The 27,213-nt window shown below is 38.7% G+C and overlaps 1 protein-coding gene across 5 annotated transcripts; it reads left to right on the top strand.

Moving 5' to 3' along the window:
* LRRC66 (leucine rich repeat containing 66) lies at window positions 13-26,724 on the top strand. 5 transcript variants are annotated; one of them, NM_001024611.3, is made up of 5 exons: window positions 13-72; window positions 2,758-3,258; window positions 16,984-17,153; window positions 22,439-22,628; window positions 24,211-26,724. In NM_001024611.3, the coding sequence occupies exons 2-5, from the start codon at window positions 2,763-2,765 to the stop codon at window positions 25,995-25,997; spliced, it is 2,643 nt and encodes an 880-aa protein (NP_001019782.1). In that variant the 5' UTR covers window positions 13-72; window positions 2,758-2,762; the 3' UTR covers window positions 25,998-26,724. The 5 variants fall into 5 exon arrangements, with proteins under 5 accessions (NP_001019782.1, XP_047271600.1, XP_047271601.1 ...); XM_047415644.1 differs by having other exon boundaries at window positions 13-2,493; XM_047415646.1 differs by lacking the exon at window positions 13-72 and having other exon boundaries at window positions 2,900-2,960.

Below are 27,213 nucleotides of genomic sequence, written 5' to 3'. Positions count from 1 at the left end.
GGTTCAGGTCTTAAATCCCTACCTGGCTTGATCCAGATATCCACCCATTTGATAACCACTTAGGATACGAAGGTATGTCTTAGAGGCATTATTACTTTCCAGGTCTTGTCCTTACCCGAAATAGCCTCTGTTGCTTTTTTCCTTCAGTTTTGCCACCCTTTCTTTTATGTATAAATGAACTCTTCATTTCCTTTCTATAATACTTTGTTTTTTTGTGCTGCCTTCTTCCTATCTTTCACTTGCTGACTCACAAATGTACACACCCAGTATTTCTAACTGCTTCCTCCTACTTCAGCTTGACTATTTCCATTTTGAAATTTACATTTTGCCTAATTGTTTCCAGTTTTCTAAGCAACTTTTTCTGGAGTTCTGAGTGGTTCCTTACCTAATACATATAAATTTATAAATAGTATGATTTTTTTAACAAATTAATACCTTTCACTTTAAGATATAAGATTCCTTGTCTAGCTGTTTTGAACTCAAACCTAACATGTATAAATCTCTTCAGCTTAAAAAGAACCAGGGCAATTTTAATTCATGTCCCCTTAAGAAAAAGTATTTTTCAACCATGTCTTTCTCTTCAGCACTACAAAGTAATGTACCTGTGAATGGTGACTATATTTTTTTGTTGCTGATTTTGTTACATTAGCTTGGTGCACCATTGTATATATAATGATCTCAGCTTTGAACGTAGAAAAAATATCTTTGTTCCTGGGCAAATCAATTCAATTTCTAGTATTGCATAAGAAGCACACTGTAAAAATAAATCACTCCTCCATGCTGTAGGCTACCTTTGCTGTTCATGGCCATGTGTACCTGAATTTAAATGCCCTTGAAAATATGGGAGGATTGACCTTGTATGAAACAAAAGTTTTAAAGTTACATTGTAAATTTCATTCACTTCACTCCATGCATTCATTTACACACAAACAACATAACCCAGTGACAGACTGCAGACTATTAAAAATGTAAAACATTGGATAGATAGATAGATAGATAATGTTCCTTTTTTTTTTGGGAGTTCAGAACAGATACAAAGCAAAACAATAGCAACGCTGAATGTTACTAATGTGTATCAATTCCTTCAGTGTTTACTGAAAGATTTCTGTAAGAATAAAGACAAATTTGGAGGCTAAAGCAGGAAAAATGACCAGGCCATAAGATGTGAGATGAATCTGGAAGGATACACAAGACTGTGGCTGGCCGGGTGTGGTGGCTCACGCCTGTAATCCCAGCACTTTGGGAGGCCAAGGTGGGCGGGTCACCTGAGGTCAGGAGTTCGAGACCAGCCTGACCAACATGGAGAAACCTCATCTCTACTAAAAATACAAATTAGTGAGTTGTAGTGGCACATGCCTGTAATCCCAGCTACTCGGGAGGCTGAGGCAGGAGAATTGCTTGAACCCGGGAGGCGGAGGTTGTGGTGAGCTGACATGGCGCTCTTGCACTCCAGCCTGGGTAACAAGAGCGAAACTCCATCTTAAGACTGTGGCTAAGAGGAAAAGGCATTGAACTTGGAACTGGGAATGAACTGAAAGTGAATTTCAGTATGCGATATGCATAGATCATTCTTTGCAGAAGCCACATCTTGTAGTGGCTCCACATGAACTTATCAAGCTAGGTCATTAAGTTTACCTAGATAACACAGGCTTTGAATACCAACCTGAGGGATTTGGACTATAGGCAATAAGGAGCCCTTTGAGGATTTCAAATGAAGGAATAATATAGGAAATACGTTATTGTAGGAAAATAATCCTTTGGAGTCACCTAGGATGGATCACAAAGAAGGAAAGTCAAGAGGCAGAGGCAAGAAAGTCAGTTAAGCCATTTTAGTATTTCAGACTGCAGTGATGAAAACTAAACTGAGTGCCATTAGAACAGAAAGGAAGGGACAATTTCTTGGAAACTCATATACTCAATAATGTGATTATTTGTACACACAGTGGCTTTTAAGTGGAATTTAGTTTAAAACAAATCACAAAAATTACCCATTTTTAAACTTATTTTTGTGATACATTCAGCCATTGTAATTTGTACACACTTCTTTTTAAAAACTTTGAATTTTTTCTCAAAAATGTTTGGTACAAAAGATACTCAATGTTTCTGTATCGTATTACATCTTCATGGCTTGGAGCCAGAACATGTATTTGATAACACATTATGTTGTATGTATCTAAATGATTTCATAATGATTTGAAAAGTCACACAAGCCACACAGCAAAACTTGTATTTCTTCTAGTCATGAAAAGTAAGAGCCTCTTTTGTGAGTTAAACTTTTTACTCATAGAGTTATGGAGGGTCACGGTTTAGTGTAACTGGTTGTCATTTATGTAATAAACTACATGGTTGATTACTATGTTGTAGATAAGCATAATAGACTTTGCTCTGTATTAATGGCCTGCAAAGAAACAGGGAAGTCTTTAATCTTGGTAAGGTTTCATTCATCCCAAAGCACACTGTGGAGTGAAAACTACTGGAAAAGCAGATGCAGAGGTGAGGCCTAACTGAATATGTATTTTCTGAAAAATCAGGGGAGTCCTTTCTTTAAAATGTGACATAAATGTAATTTTATACTATGGCTATTTCATTTTGGTAGCTACATTTTCATGCCCCAGTAAGAAATCAAACATTCGCTTAAATTGGCAACCAAGACAAGATAACTTTCCGAAATCTTAAATTGAAAATTAAATTTGCTGCTTATTGCTGTTAGTTTTTATATATTATTGTGAATAAGTCAATTCATTTTCCTTTTTCCAGGCATTATGAAAAACCTCTATTTCAGAGTCATTACCATAGTTATAGGTCTTTATTTTACTGGAATAATGACAAATGCATCAAGAAAAAGCAATATTTTATTCAATTCTGAATGCCAATGGAATGAATATATTCTGACAAATTGTTCTTTTACCGGAAAGTGTGATATACCTGTGGACATATCACAGACAGCAGCCACTGTGGATGTAAGTTTCAATTTCTTTAGAGTTCTCTTACAGTCTCACACGAAAAAAGAAGAGTGGAAAATAAAACATCTGGACCTCAGTAACAATCTCATATCAAAAATAACCTTAAGCCCTTTTGCATATTTACATGCTTTGGAAGTGTTAAACCTCAGCAACAATGCCATCCACTCCCTCTCATTGGATCTACTCAGTCCTAAGTCCTCATGGGTGAAACGCCACAGAAGCAGCTTCAGAAACAGGTTTCCATTGCTGAAGGTGCTCATTCTTCAAAGAAATAAACTCAGTGACACTCCCAAGGGTGAGTACAATTTTAACTAGGCAGAGAAACAATGCTTACGTGGAGTTGTTTCATGTTCATAAGAATTCCACATTTGTTTTCAGGTTCAAGGGACAGCTGAAAGTAAAGCAATTTGATCAGAGCACATATAATAATGTTTCTTAGTGGCATTGGAAGTTATAGTGTGTGGAATTTACAGCTAATGAAATTTAGTCTCCCATTAGTATATCTGACATTAATGTTATGTGCGGTTATCGAGACACTAGGAAGTATTTAAGTGCTAAATAATAATGAGTGATTGTAAGTTACCTACTTTAATTATCATGTATTAGTTAATATAGAAAAGCACTGAGCAATAACTAGTTCAAATACATTTAATATGTAATACAATTCAAATTAAATGTTGCCATATTATAATATTTTTCTTCTTTGAGTACATTTTGCCTCAGTCTATCTAGTTGTCCTCCAAACTTACAGCAGAAGTATCCTAATATTATATATTGGTATGTAAACCTTCTGATTATCAAGTCAAAATCAGAATTCCTTATCCTAGTTTCTAACAGGGTACTCCAGATAGCCTCCAATTATCATAAATTCTCATCTGACATTCAATAGTCTATATGTTGGAGTTCCTTAACGGATACACCAATGTTTTCTTTGGAAAATATATCAAGTTCATAAAGCAAAACTTCCTTTGCCCTTTTTATATTCCAGAGTGCTAGACAATTAATTTCCTTTCCTTGTTTGTTTTCAGGCTTGTTCACTCTTTGCTAAGCACCTCCTTTATATAAGACATTATTCAAAAAAATGTATAAGGTTATTGTTCTCTTTCTCCATTCCAAATTGTGCATATTTAGTTTTTCTTATTATCCAGTTCTGACATTTCATGTTTTTATCTTCATGCTCTTTCTCCAGCTTTGCTTTAAGCATCATTTTGGCAATAATAGCCTAGCAGGTATAGGAATTATTACAGTCACCATGTCAGCAGAATTGTTTGAGAAGGGTGGGCGTCTTATCTCCCTGACCTTCTCCATAAAAGTAGTATGTCATATTTTCAGTGTAAATGAATTGCATTTTATTTTATTTTTATTGTATTATTTTTATTACAAGAAGAATACCTGTTACTTATAGAACATTTAACAACTGAAGAAAAATTTAAAGGGAAAAATTAAAGTCATTCATGTTATATATGTTCTTCAAGTTTATTATTTATGCCTATTTGTACCTTTTTCTTTCAAAATTGGATCATACTGTCCATATTTCTAATTTGTATTTTCATATCATAGAATATTTTAATAACTTTATATAATTAAGCAATCTCACAAATATTTCAAATAGTTGGTTTTTATATATGCGTATATCATAATTGGTTTAATCAAGCACTAGGTTATTTCCAGGTTTTGTTTTTTGATGGACGTCATTATAGCTACATATATCCATATAATATAACAAAAATTTTTAACTGGTATGGTAGATGTGATCTCAATCCACAAACTCAAGTGTACTAGAGATATAACCTTCTGTTGTCTGTAGTAACATAATTTCCGATTCTGAGCCCCCATTAGGGGGAGTTGTAGGGATACTTAACATCAGTCTTTCATCAGCTTTCCTCTGCCTTTGCCTGGATTTGTACCCAGCTTGAGAATCGTATACTCTAACAAGGCATCAAATCGTATACTCTAACAAGGCATCGAATCGTATACTCTAACAAGGCATCGAGGGGTGAGCATTCCTTACCCCTGCTACCCAGATAATATTTCTTTTCAGCCTCTTCAGTTTGGAGAAAATTTCTTCTCCCTTTTTTTTTTCTTCAAAACCCTCTGTCTGGAAATCACTTTCTTCTAAAGGGTTAGGGTTTTGGAAAACAAAAGCCAGAAAGACTTGTAGACTCAGCTACTTTCTGCCTTGCCATATGCCTTCCCTGGGACAATGAACGTGGAGCCTACTTTCTGTGTGAATGGAGAGAAAGAGCAAGAGGAAAATATAGGGAAGTAAGAGATTAACATGTCAAAATATTACCCCACCACAAGAGTAAATAGGAAGTGCTGAGTTTCTCTCCTTAAGGCAGATGAATTCCCCTGAGCTAACTGGGGGTTAGGACTAATACAGTTCCACTTAAAGACCAAATATCCCTATAAATGCAGATACAGATCCATCTTCTTTTTTTGAGTTAAGCTTTTGCCTCCCAAAAGATCAAGAAAAATGTTCAACTTGAAGAGGAGGGGGAAAAAAGAAGGGAAGTGAGCAAATTCTGTATCTGAAATTCTATTAAAATTCTAGCAAATGAAGACATAGAGAGATGAATGAAAAGAGATAGACGGTGGAAGTTCAGTGTAAGGCATGAATCTGATTGGATATAATTCAGAGTCCTTTTATCCATAGTATTTTGTGATTTAAATTATTTTCCCATAATCATCATATTAGTTTTCACTAGGTTGAGTCTCCTCTAACAATTTTTCCTATTTTATGATTCTGTGACTATGGCTGAGTTGCTCTGACTTTGAAATCCCATTTTGAGGGGAACTGCTGGTGAGAGAGATGCTGCCTAGGGCATGCCCTATTTTTGGCCTATTTCTTTGTTCTTCAATTCTTCACTCTAAGTCTATTTATAGGTGACATCTGGATAATATAAGATTTACTCATTGGATCATTGTAAGGATAAAATGAAAAAATGTATCTCAAAGACCTAACTTAACATGGTATTTGGCATAATAAACTGTCACAATATAAATATATGAAAACTACTTCAGAATCTTGTCTGAAGATTTACCTTGCAAATACTAGTTTTTATTATTCTCTTGGCATAAATTGAGAATAACAGTATATTTAGAAACAAATAATTAATTTTTGTCTAAATCTCAAGGTTTTTTTTGTTTTTTGTTTTTTGAGACAGAGTTTCACTCTTGTTGCCCATGCTGGAGAAAAATGGCACGATCTCGGCTCCCCGCAACCTCCGCCTCCCAGGTTCAAGCGATTCTTCTGCCTCAGCCTCCCAGGTAGCTGGGTTTACAGGCATGTGCCACCAGCCCGGCTAATTTTGTATTTTTAGTAGAGACGGGGCTCCTCCATGTTGGTCAGGCTGGTCTCGAACTCCTGATCTCAGGTGATCCGCAGGCCTCACCCTCCCAAAGTGCTGGGATTAGAGGCGTGAGCCACCGTGCCCGGCCTCAAGTTATTTTTTAAAATGTTCAACAACTATTGAAGTAGTAGCCCACTATAATTCATGAGCAGATAATTATTTGTGTCTGACTATATAGGCACTTGCATTCATCTAAAATAATAATAAATTAGAGAGATCTCAGAAAGCAACAATCAAGCAACCTTTGTAACTATGTACCACATATTTTAAAATGGGGACTATTTCTAGAACCAATGAAAAGTTGCTTTCACTCAGGAAAGCCCATTTGTGTAAGGGTGAGATATCACACGAACTAACCCTGTCTTCAGAGTCAGTTGTGGTGTCACCAATAAGCTTCATGTTGGGAAAATGCCCAAAAGAGGTGCTGGCCAATGCAATTTATAAAACAGAAGCCAGCCATGAATTTAATTTTAATGATGCTTCTACCTTCCTCCCATATTTTTGGAATACAGCATTCATAATTGAAAAACTAGTTTAAAAACATGAAAACAATGGGATCAGTCTCTGGTTAATCTGTCCTACCTTCATCAAGCAGTATTTTTGGAGTGCTCACAGAGTAACTGGAAATGCAGCAGGAACAACATCTTGTTGGGATTCCAGTTAGGTTGATAGACCAAATGTAGCAGCCTCACATTAACCAACTAAGTTCTAGAACCTAAGAGGTAAATGTGTTAGAAATAAGATAAAATAATACCTAACATTTGAAACTGGGGGAATTAAAAAAAATACACAGTGTATTATAAAAAACTAAAGTATATTGTGTTCCTTTATTCATAGAAAATTAAAGATTTCATCCTGATTGCTACTGGATTATGGAATTATCAATAAGCAATGTACTCAAAACTAATTCAGGTTCTAAAGAAACAAAAAGTATATAAGACACTAAACTAAGAAGGCAAGGCCTTTGGCTAACCTACATAATTTGACCACAATAAGATCTGACCTAATGAATCGAATATCTTACCCAGGACCATTCTAGACTCTATTCCAATTCTTAATTGCTCTTTGGACTAACAGCCATAATCCCTGAATATTGTTTTATGTTATCAGGTTATCACACTTGGGAGAGCACTTAAGTTCATAGTACAGAAGGAGTATTTACTAAGTGTAATGTCTGAGTATCCTTTCTGTGGCCTTTTTTTCTGAGAGACAGGTCATTTCTTGGAAATAATAAAACTGCCTCTGGCCACTTAAATGCAAAGGCTAATAAAATTCCTGCCTAGTGTGTCCTTTGTAATCTTTAGAAAGCAGTTCAATAAATAATTCCCTTTCCACAGAGTACCTCTATATTTTCCTCCCAGCATTCAACTCTCCTCTCTTGAAGTATAAAATGTACCCCTGATGTCCAAGCCCCAGCCGTGAATGCACCATACAGCCTCTTTTCACTCATTTGACTACCCTCTGAACATTGGCTTACCAAGCAAAAATATTAAAAGAATACATTTTCCCATTGAGAAGTGCAGTCAAGTACCATGCAAGAGTTTTCTTAAATTTCCCAACTCCATCCTGAGAGACGCTATACAAACCAGGTCTGTACCAGTTCCCTTAAAAAAATAAAATCTTAATTATCTAAAATTGAAAGTAAAGGAAAAGTTTTCATTCAGGAGGTGTAAACTGAACTTCCTGGTCTTTATTCTCATCTCCAGAAGAAGTTTACCTTCCTCTTGGAAAATCTCAGCTTGATATTATGAGGGGAGTTAAATAAGAGGATTCTCTAATAACTGCATTCAAAATCAAAATCACCCTCTCCCCACATGCTTGGGTATGTTCGGGTCCCACTCTTTTTATTTACTCCTTTTTTTTTTCTGTTTTTAGATGGAGCCTCACTCTTGTCACCCAGACTGGAGTGCAGTGGCATGATCTCAGCTCACTACAACCTCCACCTCCCGGGTTCAAGAGATTCTCCTGCCTTAGCCTTCCATGTAGCTGGGATTACAGGTGCCTGCCACCACACCCAGCTAATTTTTTTGTATTTTTAGTAAAGATGGGGTTTCACCATATTGGCCAGGCTGGTTTTGAACTCCTGACCTCAAGTGATCCGCCTGCCTCAGCCTCCCAAAGTGCTGGGATTACAGGCATCAGTCACCGTTCTCAGCCTGTTTACTTGTAATTCTTTTACACATCTTATATTACACTATTTACTTGTTTGTTGACCTTAAACAAGTCACTTAACCTAAAAAAGCTTCCTGGTCCTTATCTTTAACTGAGAATAAGTATATGTATAGGGTAGGTATAAGGTTTAGAGACAGTGTGCATCAAGACTATAACACATAGAGTGATGATACATGTAAAACATCTCTCATAGTGCCTGGCACACAGCAGGTGTTCAAAAGCATTAGTTCCCCTTTAGTGCCACTTGATCGTCCTGAGTCTTTAATTCTATATTTCCTGCCCTGGTCTTTGCTGTAACGGTAACTTCCTTGATTTCAGGCACAATAGATAATTAAAGGGGATTCTCATTCTCTGTCTTCAGATGTTTAGAGTATTCACCAACAGTCTGGGTGCCTCTGTTCATATTTATATAGGTCTGCATAATGTTGGAAGCCTCTGCTCTTCCTTTTTCAGAGCACTTTTTGATCTGTCCTCTGACTCTCTGAACCACACTGACTCATGAAACCATCACCACTATCAAGATAATTAAAACAAAAAGTATATAAGATACTCAACTAAGAAGGCAGAGCCTTTGGCTCACCTACATAATTTGACCACAATAAGATCTGACCTAATGAATCAAATATCTTACCCAGGACCATTCTAGACTCTATTCCAATTCTTATTGCTCTTTGGACTAAAAGCCATAATCCCTGAATATTGTTTTATGTTATCAGGTTATCATACTTGGGAGAGCACTTAAGAAGTTCATAGTACAGAGGGAGTATTTACTAAGTGTAATGTCTGTCACCGCAAAAGCTTCTTCATCCCCCTTTGTAATCTGTCTTTTCCACCCATCCCTTCTCCCCAACCCAGGAAACCGCTGATCTCCTTTCTGTTTCATTATAGATTCACTTGCATTTCTATAATTTTATATAAAAGGAATCATACAATATGTACTTTTATTTTTGGTCTAACGTCTTTTTTCAGCATAATTATTTTGAGACTTATCCATGTCGTTGTATATATTAAAAGTTCATTCCTACTAAAAACAGAATTACAATTCGACCTAGCAAGCCCATTAGTGGGTGTATATGCAAAGGAAAAATAAATCATTCTACAAAAAAGACACATGCACTCATATGTTCATCACAGCACCAATCACAATAGCAACTACATGGAATCAACCTAGGTGCCCATCAACAGTGGATTGGATAGAGAAAATGTGGTACATATACATCATGGTCTCCTACACAGCTCTAAACAAGAATGAAATCATGTCGTTTGCAGCAACATGGATGTAGCTGCAGGCCATTATCCTAAGCAAAGTAATATATTCTCGCTTATAAGTGGGAACTAAATCTTGGGTTCAAACAGACGTAAAGATGGGAACAATAGACACTGGGGACCACTAGAAGGAGGAGGAGTGTGGGAGGAGGGAGACTAAAGCTGAAAAACTACCTATTGAGTACTATGCTCACTACCTGGGTGATGGGATCATTTGTACTGCAAACCCTCAGCATCAGGCAATATACCTGTGTAACAAACCTGCACATGTACTCGCAAATAAAAGTTGACATTATTTTAAAAAATAAGACAAAAAGAAAAAATTTTGTGAACTGTGGGGAAAGGTTCATTCCTTTTCATTGCTGTGTAGAATTCCATCATGTGGATTCATTTATCTGTTGATGGACACTTAGATTGTCTTTTTGGCTATTAAAAATAAAGCTGCTAGATCTTTCATAAATGCTCTATGCCAGGTTGATGAAATTCTCTCTATTCCCAGTTTGCCCAAGACCTTTTCTGGATCTACTGAGATGATCATATGGGTTTCTTTTTTAATCTGTTAATTTGGAGAATTGTGTAGATTTTCTAATATTAAATCAACTTTGCATTCGTGGGATGAATTCCATTTTGTCATGATTTATTGTCTTTTTTATATATTTTGGATTCAATTTGCTAAAATTTTAAGAAATTTTACACCTATGTTCATGAGGAATATTGGGTTATTATTTTCTTTTGCTATATTGTTGATGTCTAGTTTTGGTATTAGAGTAATGTGGGCCTCATAAAATGAATTGGGAGATATTTATTCCTCTTCCGTCTTCTGGAAGTGTTTGTTTAGAATTGGCTTTGTTTCTTCCATAAATGTTTCATAGAATTCCCCAGTGAAGCTATCTGAACAGGAGTTTTTTCATGGGAAGGTATTTAATTACAAGTTTACTTTCATTAATAGATGCAGGGTTATTCACATTATCTATTGCTTTTTGAGTGAGTATTGGTAGTTTATTAGCATAAAGCTGTTCACAATGTTTCATTATCCTTTTAGTATCTATAGACTCTGTAGTAATGCCACCTCTCTTATTATTGACACTGATAATTTATATCTTCTCTTTTCTGATCAGCCTGGCTAGAAATCTTTTTAAATCAATTTTATTGTTGTTAAAGAACCAGCTTTTGGTTTTATTGATTTTTCTCTATTATTTTTACATTTCCTACTTTATTTCTTCTCTGATCTTTATGATTTCCTTTCTTCTGCTTACTTACAATTTCATTCATTCTTGCAAGTTTCTTAAAGGGGAAGCTGAAGTCAATGACTTGAGGCATTTCTTCTTTAATAGACATTTAGTGCAACTTGATAATAAATTAGTAATTTGCCTCTAAAAATGGCTTTAGCTACGTCCCACAAATTTTGATATGTGATGTTTTCATTTTTAGTTGAGTCAAAATTATTTCTATTTTGATTTTTCTTGGTCCCATGGGTTATTTAGAAGTGCGTTATGAATATCGAATAATCTGTGGATATCCTAGAATTCTAGCTTTGGGATTTCCAGTATATATCTTAAGATCACAGTCTATTTTTATTTGGTATTAAACTACTTGCCTGTAATATAAGAACCTTACAATGGTGTTCTCCCATTTTTTCCCCTCTTCTGTCCTTTGTGCAGGTATTGTCCTACATTTTACCCCTATATATAATTTCCACAATATGTTTTTACTATCTTTGCTTCACAATGTTGCTTTTAAAGAGATTTAAATATAAGAAAAAATATTTAACCTACATAAATTTCTGGAGCTCTTTGTTCCTTACTCCAGACTTCTATCTGGTTTCATTTTTTCCTCTAAAGGACTTCCTTGAACATTTTTTCTACTCTGGGTCTACTCCTGATGAATGCTTTCAAATCTTTATTGAAAAGGTCTTTATTTGCCTTTGTTTTTCAAATATATTTTTACTCAATAAAGAATTCTAGGCTGACCGTTTTAAAGATTTTCAGTTTGTTTAAATGTTGCTCCATTATTTTGAATTTGCATTGTTTCCGATAAGAAATCTGCTCTCATCCATATCTTTATTCTTTTTATAGTGTTCCTGACATACACTCAATTTAAATTTTTGGCAATCAAATATATTAATATTTTCCTTTATAATTTCTTCTTTTAATCTTAAAAAAAAAAACAGCTTTCCCCGTGTGCAACTACACCAATCTTTTATTTATATGTGCCTTAACTCCATGGATGGCAAAATTGTCAGAGAAGATTTTTCAGGCATATTATACTTATAATCCAACTGGAATTTACTTTGTTGTGTGGAGATTAGAATAATGTTTGCAGCAGATCTCTGGAATTTACCTAGGTCAAATTATTTAATCAGGAGCTCTTTTTCTGAAAACTTGATCTCAGAGCATCTCATCCCACCAGTCAGGGCCAGCTAGGTATCATGACCTGGATTTTCTGCAGACCAGAGTTGGGAAGCCATCTAGCCTATCAAACAGCTTCTGTCCTCATCTTCATCCTAGCAGCAGCCCATTCACAAGATAGTGTCAGTACTTACAAAACTTAATCCAGCATAATTCACACACAGTCACCTGAGGCTAGTAGAACTCCTGCCAGATCTCACTAAACAACTTTGATTCTATAAATTAAAAAAAAAAAATTGGCAGTCAAGATCTCTAACCCTACTCTAACATAGTTAGTTGTTATTCCTCAAGGGCTCGTCCCTATTATCTTGAAAGTTACACATGGGTCCCAGTCTGTTCCACAAGGCCCTCATTCAGATCAGCAGGCCACCAGGCCATGTTATTTAAATGACACTAGCAGAAACCAAGAAAGCAAGCCCTGCCACATAAGCATGCTTCAGATCTTTGCTCACAACACCTCTGCTGCCATTCCTTTGGCCAAAGCAAATTACATGGCCAAACTCAACTCAGTGGGATGGGGAAGTGTATTCTGCCCACAAGACAGTGAATATTTGATGAACAATCATCCAAACTAATGGACCTGGCTTCCACTGGACTCCAAAAGCTTGAAGATCGTAGTAATCAAAGACATATCTCAATTCCAGCTATGAGAAACAATTTTTAAGGAATGTAACAAGCATGGAGGCCTTAAGTGATTTTCTTCGGCTCACATCAAAAGTCACAAACAGGGCTGGGAGCAGTGGTTCACACCTGTAATCCCAACACTTTGGGAGGCCAAGGTGGGAGGATTGCTTGAGGCCAGAAATTTGAGAACAGCCTGGGCAACATGGTGAGATTCTATCTCTACAAAAAATTAAAAGAAAAAAAAATAGCCAGACATAGTGGCACACACCTGTAGTCCAAGCTACTCTGAAGGCTGAGGCAAGAGAATCGCTTGAGCCTAGGAGTTCGAGGTTACAGTGAGCTATGATTGTGCCATTGCATTTCAGCCTGGTGACAGAGCAAGATCCTGTCTCAAAACAAAACAAAAAGTCACAGATAAAGGTGGAATAAACCTCAGTCTCTTAAGTTCAACTCCAGCGCTGACTCTAGTACTCCGTGACACAAGCAGATTAACTAAGCAACTCCCAATACATCTGGCAATTTCATTATGTACCATGGCCCAGACCACCCTTTTGTGGTTTTGAGGGAGGGTTGTTTTTATTTGTTTTTAGTTAATAAAAGATGGGCATGGTTAAAGGGTAATGATTAAGAGATCTAGGTTTTGATTCCAGCTCCACCTACCATGGTGTTGTTGGGCAAGTTCTTAACTTCCCTGAACTTAGTTTTTTTTCATTTGTAAAATGTTGTTAACTCCTCAGGCTTTTTGAAGATTAAAAAGAGATGTCTGTGAAATGCTTAGAGCATAAAGAGTACACAATTAGGAGCTTAAAAATAATTTCTTCTGTCACTTTTTTTTTGTTTTTTTGTTTTTGTTTTTTTTTCTTTATTATTATTATTATTATTATTATTATTATACTTTAAGTTTTAGGGTACATGTGCACAATGTGCAGGTTAGTTACATATGTATACATGTGCCATGCTGGTGCGCTGCACCCACTAACTCGTCATCTAGCATTAGGTATATCTCCCAATGCTATCCCTCCCCCCTCCCCCCAACCCACAACAGTCCCCAGAGTGTGATGTTCCCCTTCCTGTGTCCATGTGTTCTCATTGTTCAGTTCCCACCTATGAGTGAGAATATGCCGTGTTTGGTTTTTTGTTCTTGCAATAGTTTACTGAGAATGATGATTTCCAATTTCATCCATGTCCCTGCAAAGGACATGAACTCATCATTTTTTATGGCTGCATAGTATTCCATGGTGTATATGTGCCACATTTTCTTAATCCAATCTATCATTGTTGGACATTTGGGTTGGTTCCAAGTCTTTGCTATTGTGAATGATGCTGCAATAAACATACGTGTGCATGTGTCTTTATAGCAGCATGATTTATAGTCCTTTGGGTATATACCCAGTAATGGGATGGCTGGGTCAAATGGTATTTCTAGTTCTAGATCCCTGAGGAATCGCTTTAAAGCTAGGCATGATCACTCCCTCCACTTAGCTCCTAGGGCACTTACTCAATTCAATTAAGCACTGAGATATTTTAGGAATCATGAGTTCACATCCTTATATAGGCCAGGCAGGTATCATGAAAATGTTAAGAAAGCTGTAGCTTCTTTCATATTGGTGTCTTATTTTGCATTTTTTCTGACAGACCCATATTAAAAGATGTAGGAATATGCTTCTATGCACAAAGAAACATTTTCTCCAGAGGTTATATTCAAAATATTTAACAACTGGCCTTCAGCCTGGGCTCCACAGTTGGATGCCTCCTGGCTGTAGTGCTGGAGCCAGGTGCTGCTGGACTGAGGGAAGGGAGAAGATAGACTGAAGTAAGTGCTCAGGGCAGCAGGGCTGTGCACAGGGACTTGGGCAATGGTCATTTCCAAACCAATATGGAAATATTTTTTACCAGAATAAGCTGACTATAAGCCTTAGTTCTCTCTCATTCAAAAAAAAAAAAAGTCTTCTTGGCCTATCCTTTGTTTTCCTGTTTTTTTTTTTTTGTTGTTTGTTTGTTTGAGACAGAGTCTCACTTTGTTGCCCCAGCTGGAGTACAGTGGCATGGATCTCGGCTCACTGCAGCCCCTGCCTCCCGGGCTCAAGCACCACCTTACTGGCTAATTTTTGTATTTTTAGTAGAGACAGGGTTTCACCACGTTGCCCAGGCTGGTCTTGAACTCCTGACCTCAAGTGATTCACCCGCTTCGGCTTCCAAAGTGCTGGGATTACAGGCATCGGCTACTGCGCCCAGCCTGTTTTCTTGTTTTTGATAGAGACATGAGTACAAAGAAATGATAGTCTTCTATAAGCTCACGCCCCCATTGATAGCAGGCAGCCTTCATTCAGCTCCAGCCAAATGTCATCTAGTGCCAATTAGAACTTCCAGTTTTCTTAAGAGAAGCCAGAAATGCAAATTTTTATTGAATTTTTAATGTCAGTACAATGATTTTTAAATCACTATGCAGGCCAAACATGGTGGCCTCTGGCCTACTGAGTATATACTATATTCTATCAAACACTGCAAAAATTCAAAGATGTGAATTCTGCCCTGAAGGGACTTGATCATCTGATAGACATGCAAACAAACAAATAAAACTTAATTTTATGGTTGGATGGTCCATGTGATGAACTACTCTGTATAACTAGTAACTTTACTTCGAGTTTATGTCTTATCATTGGACCATATTAAACTCTTTAAAGAGTAAAGATTCTATGCTGTCCATACTTGTCCTCAGCACCGACTGCCTTGCCCATAATGTTTTGATTGATTCGTCGTCCTGACGATCTCTTGCTTAGCATGTATACAATTAAATGGACATATGACAACCTTGATGGTGCAGCCATTTCAATTAAGTCATCTCCCTGTATAATCAATCTTACAATAAGTACCTTGCAGACAGTAGGCAAGGAAAAAAGCCTCCTGTAATTGAACCAACCTGATCTTGTTATGTTGATTAAAGACACAGGCTACATGCAAGAACAGTGCAGAAGGAAATGTAAAAATGCAGGCACTTCCTTCTGAGACCCATATGGGAAATGAAATTTGAGAGACAGCTATGACTGGCACCTCCTTCTCAACCTTTATTTATTTTCAGTGCCAAATGGACCTCCTGGTTACTCTCTGAAATCAAGTGAAATACAAAGGCAGAGACCAAAATTCAATTTGATTATTTTCCTGGAAAACAAAATCTAGCTATAACTTACTACCTTTGGAAAACACAAGAATGCCTAGGAAATAGTCATAATGTCAACAATAAGTAGCTATAAGAAAGGACATGGCTACAAAATAGAATAAGACAACCGGGTGTGGCGGCTTATGCCTGTAATCCCAGCACTTTGGGAGGCCAAGGCGGTGGATCACTTGAGGTCAGGAGTTCGAGACCAACCTGACCAACATGGTGAAACCCCGTCTCTACTAAAAATACAAAAAAAGAAATTAGCCTGGCATGGTGGCAGGCGCCTGTAATCCCAGCCACTCAGGAGGCTGAGGCAGGAGAATCACTCGAACCCGGGAGGTGGAAGTTGCAATGAGTGGGGATTGTACCACTGCACTCCAGCCTGGGTGACAGAGCGAGACTCTGTCTCAGAAAAAAAAATAGAATAAGAAAAATCTTAAAACTGGAAGAACTCATCCATGTAGATAAAGCATCAAAACAATTTTTTTCCTCTATTGTTTAGCAAGATTATTTAGTTTTACTATATAGTTCAAACAAATAAATATTTATCACGTCTTTCAATCAAAGTTATATTTTTAACTGATTCTCTTATTTTGAAAGTAGTACATGCTCATTGAAAGAAAGAATTCAAAAGTGTTCAAAACAACATTTCTTTTCTTATCCCTCTTCACTTCCCTCAACTCAACCATCCTAGTCCTAACTCTAACTGTTAGTAGTTTAGTTTATCTCCTGCCAGGCCTTTTCCTGCTCACTCAAAATCTATGTATATGTTTGCATATGGCTCTTTTTCCCAAGGACATTGGACTTTATACTATTCTGCACTTAACTTTTTTCTTCCAGTTCAGTCAGTTTATATGTTGATCTGTCTCATTCTCCTTTGAGACCACATATTATTTCATAGTATTAATATACCATACGTTGTTTAACAATACCTCAATTGAGAACTCTTAATGTTGTCTCCAATTTTTCACCATTACAAACAGTGCTGCAGTAAATTTTACCAGTTTAGATTTCAACTTACTTTTTCATTTTAACAGGACTGTGGAAACTGAAGTCATTGCAGAGTTTGGATCTGTCATTCAATGGGATATTGCAAATAGGGTGGTCTGATTTTCACAACTGCCTGCAACTGGAGAATCTCTGTTTAAAGAGCAACAAGATATTCAAAATTCCCCCACAAGCCTTCAAGGACCTCAAAAAATTACAGGTTCTAAAATCATTTTTATAATATTTGAATAAGGAAGACACATGGGCAATTACATTAGAAGCATATTTCTATTGAAGAGTTTCTTCATGTCCAGTAGTACTGGCTATTAATCAAAAACTGTTAGTCTATTTTAAGATCCCTTAAAAGAGCTGAAGTCTCTTTCTTGCCTCAAAAATCAAAGGCCACAATAAGGGACATGAATTTTACTCCAACATAATACTCAACAGCAAGAATTGACACATTATTTTTCTAAATCAAGTTATATCCAACTCCAAGATTTCACTTACCAGTTGGCAAGGAATTAAATCTTAGTTATTAGTGAGGCTGTCTCCCTAAGCTACAAGATTGGTCAAAGGTCCCAGGGGTCTTATGCAATATGGAACGCTTGGGGAGGCCCCGCTAAACCACCCTGGCTGATGCTAAGATGTCAACAACCGTGGACTAGATGGGCCTCTGAAACCCAGTGACCCTGTTGCTTCCATTTCAAAATTGGACACAAAACAATAAAAATGATAATGATATTTCCATACTTGTATAGCATGTGTGCCACATGCAGTTCTAAACGTCCAACCCATATTGGGGAGATTTATGTCACATTTTGGCCCAATAGTTCCTGTCTCTGGCGCGTTGCAGTTAATCTCCCAAGGTGCCAATTATACTACTGTAAGGGTAAGGAACTCCTGAAGCCCTGTTCCAGGTCTGGCAGCTTCAGCCCCTTCTCCTCCAAGCACTTTTCTCCACACCCTTCCCTTTGGGAGAATGTTGTAAAATCTCCTCTCAGTGGTCTTTTAGCAACACTGGAGTGGCCTGCAGTGTAGCACTACTAGATGGTTTGTAAGAGTCCTTAGTCCCCCATCTCCATAACCTCCACGACAACTCCCATTCTTTGTATAGGCCAGCATCATTCAATAGAAACATAGAATGTGAGCCGCACATGCAATTTTAGATGTTCCAGTAGCTACAGTGAAAAAGTTAAAATAAGCAAGTGAATTTCTTCTTAGTGGTAAGTGTTATTTATCCAATATTATCTTTTACACATCATCAATATAGAAATTATTAATGAGATATTTTATATCCCCTTTTCATAGTAAGTCTTCAAAACCTGGTGGATATTTTGCACTTACCACACATCCCAATTTGGACCACCCCTGTTTTAATTGCTCTATAGCTACATGTAAGCTCTTTGAGGACATACATGATATCTGTTTTGTTTTCCAGTGCTTAGCATATGCCTGGTACCTGATATATATGTTTAAATACTTGTTAAATGAATAAGTGGCTGATGGACATGGATAGGTGTATTAGTCATCTATTGGTGTGGCTATCATATTAAGCAATGTCAACAAAGAAAACTGAGGTTTTCCCAGTGTTCTGCAAAGTGCTATTCAGGCATAGCTGCAAGATAAGCCTCCAACTCCCCACTTCCAACCAGAATGGCTCCTGGAGTCCCTCTTCTGTAGAAGGGAGACTAGTGAAGCAGTGATGGGGAGCGTGGCCTTGAGCCAGCTGCCTGGGCTTAAACCTAGCCTCGGCCACTTTCCAGCCACACTATCTTAGGCAAGTTACCAAATCTCTCTGTGTCTCACTTTTCTCTTCTGAAAAATGAAGATAATTTAGTTCCTCTCAGAGTTTTGTGAGAATTAAGTGCTTAGAATACAGTAAGTACTTTATAAATGCAGTCTGTGTATAGAAATTTTAAAGTGGCCACTGTCGCCTGCTCTTTTAACATAGAAATCTGATTCTCCCACTTCTTGGTTAAAACACTTCTAAGATTTCACTGCAAGGACCTGACCCCTGTCTGCCTCTCCAGCCTCCTTTCAAGCCTCTTCCCTGGCTCCCTGCACTCCTGCCTCTGTTTTCACCTCAAGTCCTCCCCACTTGCTCATCCTTTGCCTGGAGCCGACTTCTGTTAATCCTGTCAGTTTTGCTAAAATATTATTTCCTCAAGGATTCCTTCCCTGGGCCTCCAGATTAAATTAATTCCCCTTTATAAACACTTATAACATGCTATACATTTCCGTTTCCTCTCATTGCACTTATCCCAGCTGAAATTACTTAGTTTTAGGTATGATTAGTTGTTAATGCCTGTGTCCTCAAACGCTTCTACCCTATCGTAAGCTCTTTGAGGACATACATCATATCTGTTTTCTTTTCCAGTGCTTAGCATATGCCTGGTACCTAACACATATTTTAAAATACTTATCGAATAAACAAAGGAATGAATACATGGGTGATGGACATAGATAGGAGTATTAGTTATCTGTTGCTGCATAATACATTACTACAAACTTACCAGCTTAAAACCACACACATAGATTATCTCACAATTTCTATGAGACGGAAATCCAGGCATGGCTTACCTGGGGCCTCCACTTAAGGCTCTCTCAAGAGGCTGCAATCAAAGTGTTGGCAAAGGCTGGAGTCTAACATAAAAGCCCAGCTAGAAAAGGATTCACTTCCAAGTTCACGTGGCCGTCGGCAGGATTCAGTTCCTTGTGGGCTGCTGGAGTAAGGGCTCAGTTTCTTGCTGGTTATTGGCCAAAGCCTGCCTTCAGTTCTGTGCCATGTGGGCCTCTCCATAGGGCTGTTCACAACATGTCAGCTTGCTTCAGAGCCATCGAGGAAGAAAGTCTGCTAGCAAGAACATTATAATTCTTTGTAATGTCATCATGGAAGTGGCATTCCATTGTTTTCCATAGTCTGTGGTTAGAAACAAATCACTGGTCCTGCCTGCACCCAAGGGAAGGAGAGTACTCAAGGGCCTGATCACCAAGGAGGCAGGATCACTGGGGACCATCCTAGAGTCTGTCTGCTACAGTAGTCATGAGGACAGATGAAAAGGTCCACTTAACTTGGTAGTTAATTGGTAGTATATAGTATACTCCTTGTGTATGTAATTTGCCCTTCATCTGTTGTATTTTCTGTGCATTTTTATTGTGCTCTATGAGTCTTCTGCAACTCACAGGTAATAGATGTCACAGGCAGACTAAAAATCAACCTTGAGAATGTTTTATATACAGCTGTAATTCTCAATGCACTGTAACTGCCCCAGAATCATACCATTTCTTCTCCTCTAATATCCCTTCTGCATGTTTGGCAATATCTCTAAAAACTGGTTTTGGAACATGATGAACATATTTGGTACCAAAAAAGCTGAATATCACAATGGATGTTGTTTTCTTCTGGGCAATGAATTTGATACTTGCACTATTCTATGTGATTTCCCATGTGGAAATCTTTTCAGAAGCCAGATAGATTTTTCAAAGCATACATTTATCACCATGCTTTGATGGGATGAAATAAGTTTCACTGACATTTCAAATTAGCATTTCTTTTCCTAATCTTATCCCATTCTTCTTAAATGCAGTGATTTATGAAGCAATATTACATATGCTTCTCCCAACCTTTCCATAATGTATACCCCTTTCAAATGCTGGTAGATGGGTATTTCTTTAGCCAAATTGGACCATTCTGTTTTACTCCTCTCTCAGAAATTGTTCCTCCTGAGTAATTTTATTAATTTTCTATCCTCCCTCCAGTTTTGCTTCTGGTTCCATGATTTGTAATATAATAAGACGCTAGGACAAAAAATAAATGTAGACATGCACTAAAAAGAAAATAATTACCTAAAAAACATTAGAATATTTCAATCTGTTGTCAAGCGATACATAAGAAAGCTACTGATCGTCACCAAGACCAGACTAAAGCTAAGTATTTTTTCTTTCCAATCCCACAGTCTCCCACCTCCAATTTTTGGCAACCTTCCTTTGAGAGTCAACACTGCTTGGCTATTCATTAATGGAAAACTCACGCTTATTACCCAAGTTCACAAAAAATTGTGATTCTGTATGTAATGGTCTTGTTTGTGGCAGTGTTTGATTATTTGCTTGAATAAGCCCTTCTTTAGGAATTTACATAACCCAAAATGTAAATGCTGATTTTTCACGGGTGTCTATAAAGCAATTGGCCTTGATAACATTCAGCCTTTCTAGATTATATTCATCATCCTCTTTTTTGAAAGCAAGGACTGTATTTTCATCTTTATGATTTTCTCTTCTCCTAATAACCATGTGCCTCTCCCCAAACCTCATGAGCCACCCTGGTGCCTCTGCCCCAGGCCTCCTCAGCCCAGCCCTTCCTTCACTCTAGTGTAGCAGGGGCTCAGGCACCAAGAGGGTATGTTCTGCATTGGAAGGCACACAGCTGTGAAGCCAGATCAGGTTTCAGCTCTACCATTTCATTAATTCCTTCCTTCCTTTCTATTGTTTACACAGCACCTGCTATGTACTAGGTGCTAGGGTCTATGTGGGATATACTGTGTGGCTTAACCCAGCTTCTTCCTCTGTAGAATAGGTGAAAATGAGGAAATTGTTGAGATCAGAGATCATGTATGTGAAGCACCCAGTAGCATGTCTGGGACCCAGCAGGGCTCGGCAAATGGCAGCTAAAGCTCCTCCTAACTGTGCTTTCCCCTGCTATGTCATGCTCCTGTCGTGTCCGACACTTACAGATCCTGCTCTCTGTTTCTAGAGCCACTGGATACTTCTTGTTCCCCTTTCCCCTTCATTTCTGATCAGACTAGAAAAATAAGTCATACTGCATGTACTGAATAGCCATGGATGTGGAGAAATGTACTACTACTCTTGAGATAATATTTGATTCAAAAGATCTCTCTCTGAGGTCAGGTGCGTGCCTGTAATTCCAGCATTTTGGGAGGTCAAGGCCTGGGGAGGATTACTTGAGCCCAGGAATTTGAGTCCAATTAAGCAACATAGTGAGATTTCATCTCTACCAGAAAAATAAATAAATAAATAAGATTTCTGGTCAACCACAAGTCTGTGTTCTGTGTCTTCATCATCCAGTATTTTCTGCTGCTTTCAAGATTGCAGTAGTTCTAGAAATTCTTGACCTGGTATCCAATTCTAGACCTTGATAACATGAGTATCTAGGTTTTATTTAACAGTACAAATTACACTCAGGAAAGAAGGAAGAGAAAATGATTAGGCATCAAATATAGGCATGATACTGAAAGCTTTCACATACAGTTAATGCTTCCAGCAACCCTGGGAGGGAGGCTTATAGAAAGTGAACAATTTATCAAGACTCATAAACTTTTTAGGGGTAGAACAGAGACTTAAAACCCCACTAATTCCCTGACTTGTAAACCAGTGTTAAATCCATATTGCCTCCATAGAGACATAAACAGTAGTTTTCTGTAACTCATTTATTTTATCTGTAAATGTCTTTATCCACAGACCATCCTAAACTTGTTTCTTCTCAAACAGGTCATAGACCTTAGCAACAATGCTCTGATTACCATCCTACCAATGATGATCATAGCTCTAGAATTTCCCCATCTAGTGGTTGACTTGGCTGATAATAACTGGCAGTGTGATGATAGTGTGGCAGTCTTTCAAAATTTTATTTCTGAATCCTGGAGGAAAAAGTGGAATGTCATTTGCAACAGGTCTATAGGTAAGTCAGTAATGTCTCTCTGAAAAGGCTCCATTTATAATGAAAAATGCACATAGACATTTTAGTCTTTTTGAAATAATGACAGTCCCCATGAAAGCAAAAGTGCTGATCCTTGGCATTAGTCAGTCTTGGGCTGTGTCATAGAAAAATCATTGGTGTCAAATAACTATTTTCCTCAGTTCATCAATTATTTTCTTCATGTGGTCAAAGAAACACAGTTCAACTCACTCAGCATCAATTGGATTTGGTGAAAAGGAGGAATTCCACTAGAAGTGAGTTTTGTTCTGACACACCAAACTTTATTCTCAAGAACCATAGACAAGCTGTTGGCATTAGACAAGAATTAAAAATTGAATAAAATTTAACGTCACAGTTTTATCCAAATTCCTAACAAATAATCTATTAAAGAAAGAACTTTTAAAATTAGAAACATCATTATTTTAAATGTTTGCTAACACTCTAAAAGTGTGATCCTCTACATACGCAAAACACACACACATATTACAAAAGCATATTTTCCTTTAATTTGTTCCTTGCCCCTCTCCTAAAGTGCTGGAATATGTTACTGGGGCTGAACATTCTGGGAAGCTTGTTTTCACTCTTAACTACCTTGGCTAAATCTCAACCTCATATCTAGAAAAAGAAAAAGTCCATGAAAAAAATGAGTCATAGATTCTGTTCTATTCAGGACTGCCATTCAAGTAGGAACATGGCCATGCCTACCAGGTTTAGAGGAAATTCATGAAGATCAGAGAGAAGTCTTAATGTCATCAGCTACATTTGTTTCACTCCACAACTGGCATTCTGAGGGTAGAGAGCAAAATGTAAGGAACCAGTAAAGAAAACTGAATATTTTTGCTGTTTAACAGCACACAGAGTCGGTAAGATTATGGAGAAAGGAGAAGCCATGTACATGTGGCTGTCCCTCTAGTCTGGCTTCTTCCTCCCACAGGCAGCAGTGAGGCAGGAAGCCTAAGGCACATACAACCTCCAGGACCTCTGAGCAACAGACCTCAGCCTGATAGCCATGTGTAAATGCGTACAGCCATAAACATGCTGTTGGCATTAAACAAAAACGAATGAATGAATAAAATTTTTAAACTGCTTATCATCATGTAATGTACCCTTTAACATATAGCTAGATAAGGACTGAGGAGGACTCACAGAAGCTTCTGAAACCACTAGAATCTGGAGCTGGGGCAGCAGCTCACACCTATAGTCCCAGCTGTTCAGGAGGCTGAGGGAGGAGAATCGCTTGATGCCAAGAGTTTGAGACCAGCCTTGGCAACATAGTGACAGCCCTTGTCTCTGTAAGTAGGAAAATAAAAAAAAAGCAGCCCAGGCGTGGTGACACACACCTGTAGTCCCAGCTACTCTAGAGGCTGAGGTGGGAGGATCACTTGAGCCCAGGAGTCTGAGGCTTCAGTGAGTTATGATTGTGCCACTGCGCTCCAGGCTGGGTGTGCCTGGAATTCAAAATTCAAAAAAATTGAATTTTTTTCAATTCTGTAAAAAAGAGAAAAACCCCTGAAATCTTATTTCAATGTTCGCTCAATGTGTATTTTTTTAATCCCACTTGCAGGGAGTGAGGAGGCCAACGGGGGCACTCCCCAGAGCAGGATTTCCAGGGAAACCCGCCTTCCTCCCATTCATCTGCATCGCATGAAAAGCCTCATAAGGAGCAAAGCAGAGAGGCCCCAGGGAGGAAGGCACACGGGCATTTCTACTCTGGGGAAGAAGGCAAAGGCCGGCTCTGGTCTCAGGAAGAAGCAGAGACGGCTGCCAAGGAGTGTTAGAAGCACCCGCGATGTGCAGGCTGCCGGCAAAAAAGAGGACGCTCCCCAGGACCTGGCTCTGGCGGTGTGCCTGTCAGTGTTCATCACATTCCTTGTCGCCTTCAGCCTGGGGGCTTTCACAAGGCCTTATGTTGACAGACTGTGGCAAAAAAAGTGCCAGAGCAAAAGCCCTGGCCTGGACAACGCGTATTCAAACGAGGGCTTCTACGATGACATGGAAGCTGCGGGGCACACACCACACCCAGAGACCCATCTGCGCCAAGTATTTCCTCATCTAAGCCTCTACGAGAACCAGACCCCTTTCTGGGTGACACAGCCACACCCACACGCCACCGTAATTCCTGATAGAACTCTGGGAAGGAGCAGAAAGGATCCTGGCAGTTCGCAGAGCCCAGGACAGTGCGGGGACAACACCGGGGCAGGAAGTGGAAATGATGGTGCAGTCTATTCCATTCTCCAGAGACATCCACATGCCGGTAACCGTGAACTAATGTCAGCAGCGCAGGACCACATCCATAGGAATGATATTCTCGGAGAATGGACTTATGAAACTGTGGCCCAGGAAGAGCCTCTCAGTGCACATTCAGTGGGCGTCTCTTCTGTAGCTGGCACGTCTCACGCTGTCTCTGGCTCAAGCCGTTATGATTCCAATGAATTAGACCCTTCCCTCTCCGGAGAAATAACAGCTTCCCTCTGTAAAATGCTAACACATGCAGAAGCACAGAGGACTGGAGATAGTAAGGAAAGAGGGGGCACTGAACAGTCACTTTGGGACTCGCAGATGGAATTTTCTAAGGAAAGGCAAGTGAGTTCATCCATTGATTTGCTGAGCATACAGCAGCCAAGGCTGTCCGGGGCAAGGGCTGAGGAAGCGCTTTCAGCCCACTACAGCGAGGTTCCATACGGTGACCCAAGAGACACAGGCCCATCAGTCTTTCCTCCAAGATGGGACAGTGGCCTGGATGTCACTCCTGCTAACAAGGAACCAGTGCAGAAATCCACTCCTTCTGACACTTGCTGTGAGTTGGAGAGTGACTGTGACTCTGATGAGGGGTCTCTGTTCACTCTGAGCTCCATAAGTTCAGAGAGTGCAAGGAGCAAGACTGAAGAGGCAGTGCCTGATGAGGAGTCCCTGCAGGACGAGAGCTCAGGGGCAAGCAAGGACAATGTGACGGCTGTAGACAGTCTTGAGGAAAATGTTACCTTCCAAACAATTCCAGGGAAATGCAAGAATCAAGAAGATCCCTTTGAAAAACCTCTCATTTCTGCTCCAGACTCTGGCATGTACAAGACTCATCTGGAAAATGCCTCTGACACTGATAGATCTGAGGGCCTGTCACCCTGGCCCAGGTCACCAGGGAATAGTCCCTTAGGGGATGAGTTTCCGGGCATGTTCACTTATGATTATGACACAGCTCTTCAATCCAAGGCAGCAGAATGGCATTGCTCACTTAGAGACTTAGAATTTTCAAATGTGGACGTTTTACAGCAAACACCACCATGTTCTGCTGAAGTTCCCTCAGATCCTGATAAGGCTGCCTTCCATGAAAGAGACTCAGACATTTTAAAATAAGAATCTTTCATTAAGGAAATATTCACAGCTCTAAACAATATTCTTTTAAAGATCATGGCAGGGGAAAACTAAAGCCTTCACAACAAGATCCTGAAGGAGACAACATGAATTCCAACCAAGTGGACACTGATGCAAATGAGGGTTTTGTGGGCCCACTTGAGGGCGATGATTCTAGAAGGGTTATAAGCTAAACACACTTGTTAACATCCTATGGGGATGAACCTGCTCTTCAGTGTGAAAGAGAAAGAGGGGAATATTTTGAGATCATTCCAAGAACCATGCACCATTATTACAAGAGCTCCAAACAAAACCAGTTCACTGAGAACACAGGAGCACTTCATCAATAGGTTGGGGTAAATATTCAGAAGAGAATCTGTTGCAGTTAGACGAAGTGGTTCTAACTTTCCTTCTCAAATACAGACCTGGAGCAATCTGATGGGATTTGGCTCTCTGAAAAGAACAGCTTTAGGATGACAAAGACAAGGATGTTCAACTTGATCATCAAAGAGAATTCAAATGACATTTTTTCATACATATTGAAGCACTTAAGTGGAAATGCTGGATAGATTTTAATGAATTCTGAACACACACTAGCACAACTTTTTGGAGGCTGATCGTGAAACTGCAAAATTGGAAAAGTTCTGAGTAAATATAAATGTTTTTAAATAAGTTATGTTAAAAGAGAAGAGGGGCCACTTTTTAGAATAAAGTGTAAATTAAAAATCAATTTTCAAGAAAAGAATTGATGATTTCTGTAAAGAAAAAGACTCTCTGCACATCCTTGCCTAGCCCTTCCTTGGTGTGACTCGCTACACTCTAGCCATCATGAGCTGTGTCCTGTTCATGCTCTGCTTTGCAATATTTTCTCATCTTCCTTCCTGACATCCCCCCTCTGCTTGCCCTCTTAAAGACAGCACTCCTCAAGGGTTTTGGTTTGTTCCTAGTCTTTCTTTATTATTCCTTTCTCCTTGAACCCCACTGCCTCAGCAACTGGCTCTACACAGATACGCCAGATCTGCATGGTAAGCCCTACCTCCCATCTAAGCTCCAGACTCACATTCCCAACCCTAGTTGCCCAAATTCATATAGGTCATCTGAGCACCTAAAATTCATTGTTTTTTTAATATAAAATTATAATAGACTCAAAGTTTCCCTATATTGCCCAGACTAGTCTTGAACTCTGGGGCTCAAGCAGTCCTCCTGCTTCAGCCTGTCA

Source organism: Homo sapiens, chromosome 4, assembly GCF_000001405.40.
Source record: "Homo sapiens chromosome 4, GRCh38.p14 Primary Assembly".
Classification (NCBI taxonomy): Eukaryota; Metazoa; Chordata; class Mammalia; order Primates; family Hominidae; genus Homo; species Homo sapiens.
The sequence above is the reverse complement of the archived record's forward strand: the minus strand, read 5'-3'. Positions and strand labels throughout refer to the sequence as shown.